Source organism: Homo sapiens, chromosome 20, assembly GCF_000001405.40.
Source record: "Homo sapiens chromosome 20, GRCh38.p14 Primary Assembly".
NCBI lineage: Eukaryota > Metazoa > Chordata > Mammalia > Primates > Hominidae > Homo > Homo sapiens.
In genome coordinates this window covers 56,735,497-56,737,861 of record NC_000020.11, presented here as the reverse complement: position 1 = coordinate 56,737,861, position 2,365 = coordinate 56,735,497, and the positions used below count along the sequence as shown (strand labels likewise).

General features: G+C 51.0%; 1 annotated feature.

The window, feature by feature from the left end:
• Positions 1,138 to 1,776: an enhancer, noted in NCBI's record as "OCT4-NANOG-H3K27ac-H3K4me1 hESC enhancer chr20:55311142-55311780 (GRCh37/hg19 assembly coordinates)". NCBI's record gives its function as "activates a minimal SCP1, AML or CMV promoter by ChIP-STARR-seq in naive H9 embryonic stem cells {active_cell/tissue: H9 hESC(naive)}" and the evidence as "EXISTENCE:reporter gene assay evidence [ECO:0000049][PMID:30033119]".

Below are 2,365 nucleotides of genomic sequence, written 5' to 3'. Positions count from 1 at the left end.
AATCCCTTGAACCCAGGACGTGGAGGTTGCAGTGAGCTGAGATCATGCCACTGCACTCCAACCTGGGCAACAGCGTGAGACTCCATCTCAAACAAAACAAAACACCAAGTCATGTGGGAGGTGGGACAGCCTTTGTGGGCGGAAGACTGCTCTGCACCTTGAAGGACATTTAGCATCCATGACCTCTGCCCATGAATGTCACCAGCTGCCCTTTGGCCATTGTGACAATCAAAGAGTTCCCCAAACATTTTCAGTGACCCTTTGAGGTACCAATGGAGGCATCACTGCTCTAGAACAAAATAGTCAAGATTCTCCACAGAACTGAGATAAGAGCGGACCATACCCTATGGATGCAGACACTTTCTGTCTTCATGAGAATGATCCTTCTTGAGTCTGAGATAATTCCCTGCCCCCCTCCACCGGATGTTTACTAGTTCCATCTGGAATGAAATGCCAGGGGTCCTCAAAGGTACCACTGGCATTTCAATTTTCTGGTCCAAAAATATCCCATACTGGGGACTCCTGAAATACAAGGAAAGCCCATAGCATTTATAGACAGGAGAACTTGTTCAGCCCAGTTCTCCCATTAGCAAGGTAAGCAGGCTTGAACTGGCCATTCAGTTGTTCACAGTCTTTCTTACTCTGCTAAACACAACAGCATCGAATACAACCGAGGGCTCACAATATGTCAGGCGCCACTCTGCTTGAGCAGCTGTATTAACTACTTCGTCATGCTAACAGCAATCGGAGGTACTTTACTTTTTTTTATATTTTATTTTTTGATTTTTTGAGACAGTCTCGCTCTGTCACCCAGGCTGGAGTGCAGTGGCACGATCTCGGCTCACTGCAACGTCCGCCTCCCAAGTTCAAGTGATTCTCCTGCCTCAGCCTCCTGAGTAGCTGGGATTACAGGCATGAGCCACCACGCCTGGCTAATTTTTGTATTTTTAGTAGAGACGGGGTTTCGCCATATTGGCCAGTCTGTCCCCTAACTCCTGACCTCAGGTGATCCTCCTGCCTCGACCTCCCAAAGTGCTGGGATTATAGGCTTGAGCCACCACGCCCGGCCTGGAGGTACATTTTATTATCCCCATTACACAGATGGGAAAATCGAAGCACAAAGAAGTTAAAACAACAAGTGTGTAAGGGAACAAGCACAGGCAGTTGGCCCCTGCACCTGCATCCTCCTTACCTGGAGTACACGTGGCCTTCAAAACCGGTGCTGCCGATCTGTGCGGGACTCAGCTGAAAATAACAGGTATTAAAATGTTTTTGCAAAGGCAAGGGGGCTTATTGTCCTCTTGGAGAGTTTCCTGCAGAGCTTCCTTGCAGGATAAAGAGAGGAGCTAAACCTTTTTCCAGTCCAACTGGGAGGTTCACACATGCAGATGAGAGGTGGAGTTGAAGGGACAAGAGAGCCCCAGGAGTCAATTGTGGCCCAATGACATCACTCAGTCCTTTATTCAGCAAATTTTTTGTGGGGGGTGCCTCTTTAGCGCCAGGCTGGAGGAGTAGGCAAGAGTCTGAGTGTTCCCGAGGCCATGGCAAGCTCTCTGTGGGCTTTAGGAAGCTCAGGTTAGCTTGGGGACAATGATCGGGGGGAAGGAGGACATGATGAGCAGATCAATAATGTGGCTGAGAGGCCAGGCGCGGTGGTTCACGCCTGCAATCCCAGCACTTTGGGGGACCATGGCAGGTGGGTCACTTGGGGTCAGGAGTTCGAGACCAGCCTGGCCAACACGGTGAAACCCCGTCTCTACCAAAAATACAAAAATTAGCCGGGTGTGGTGGTGTATGCCTGTAATCCCAGCTACTCCGGAGGCTGAGACGGGATAATCACTTGAACGCAGGAGGCAGAGGTTGCAGTGAGCCAAGATCGCGCCATGGCACTCCAGGCTGGGCGACAGAGCGAGACTGTGTCTCAAAAAAAAAAAATAACGTGGCTGAGAAATAATGGCAGCAGGGATGAAGGGATGGTGGGGGTGGGGGTGGGGGTGGGGGAGACAAATTCCATTACTTAAATATCAGGGTCTCCTCCTCAATGAAGCCCCTCCCTGTTTCAACCAGCCCCTCCCTCTGTTGACGCCCCAGGTCGCAGCTGTCCCATTCACACACTCTTGAACCCCAAAGCACGGCCCACCTACCTGCAGCATCACAATACCTGGAAGCTTCTCAGACACTTAGACTCCTGGGCCCCACTCCAGACCTACTGAACTGGACCCTTGATTCTAACAAGATCCCCCGATGATGAATATGCCCTCGGAGCTGGAGCCACACTGCTGGAAGGCGTGTTATGCCCTGGACAAATATTGACCGAGCACCTACTGTGCACACAGCACCAAGCGCACCTGGGTGGGTAGGGAAG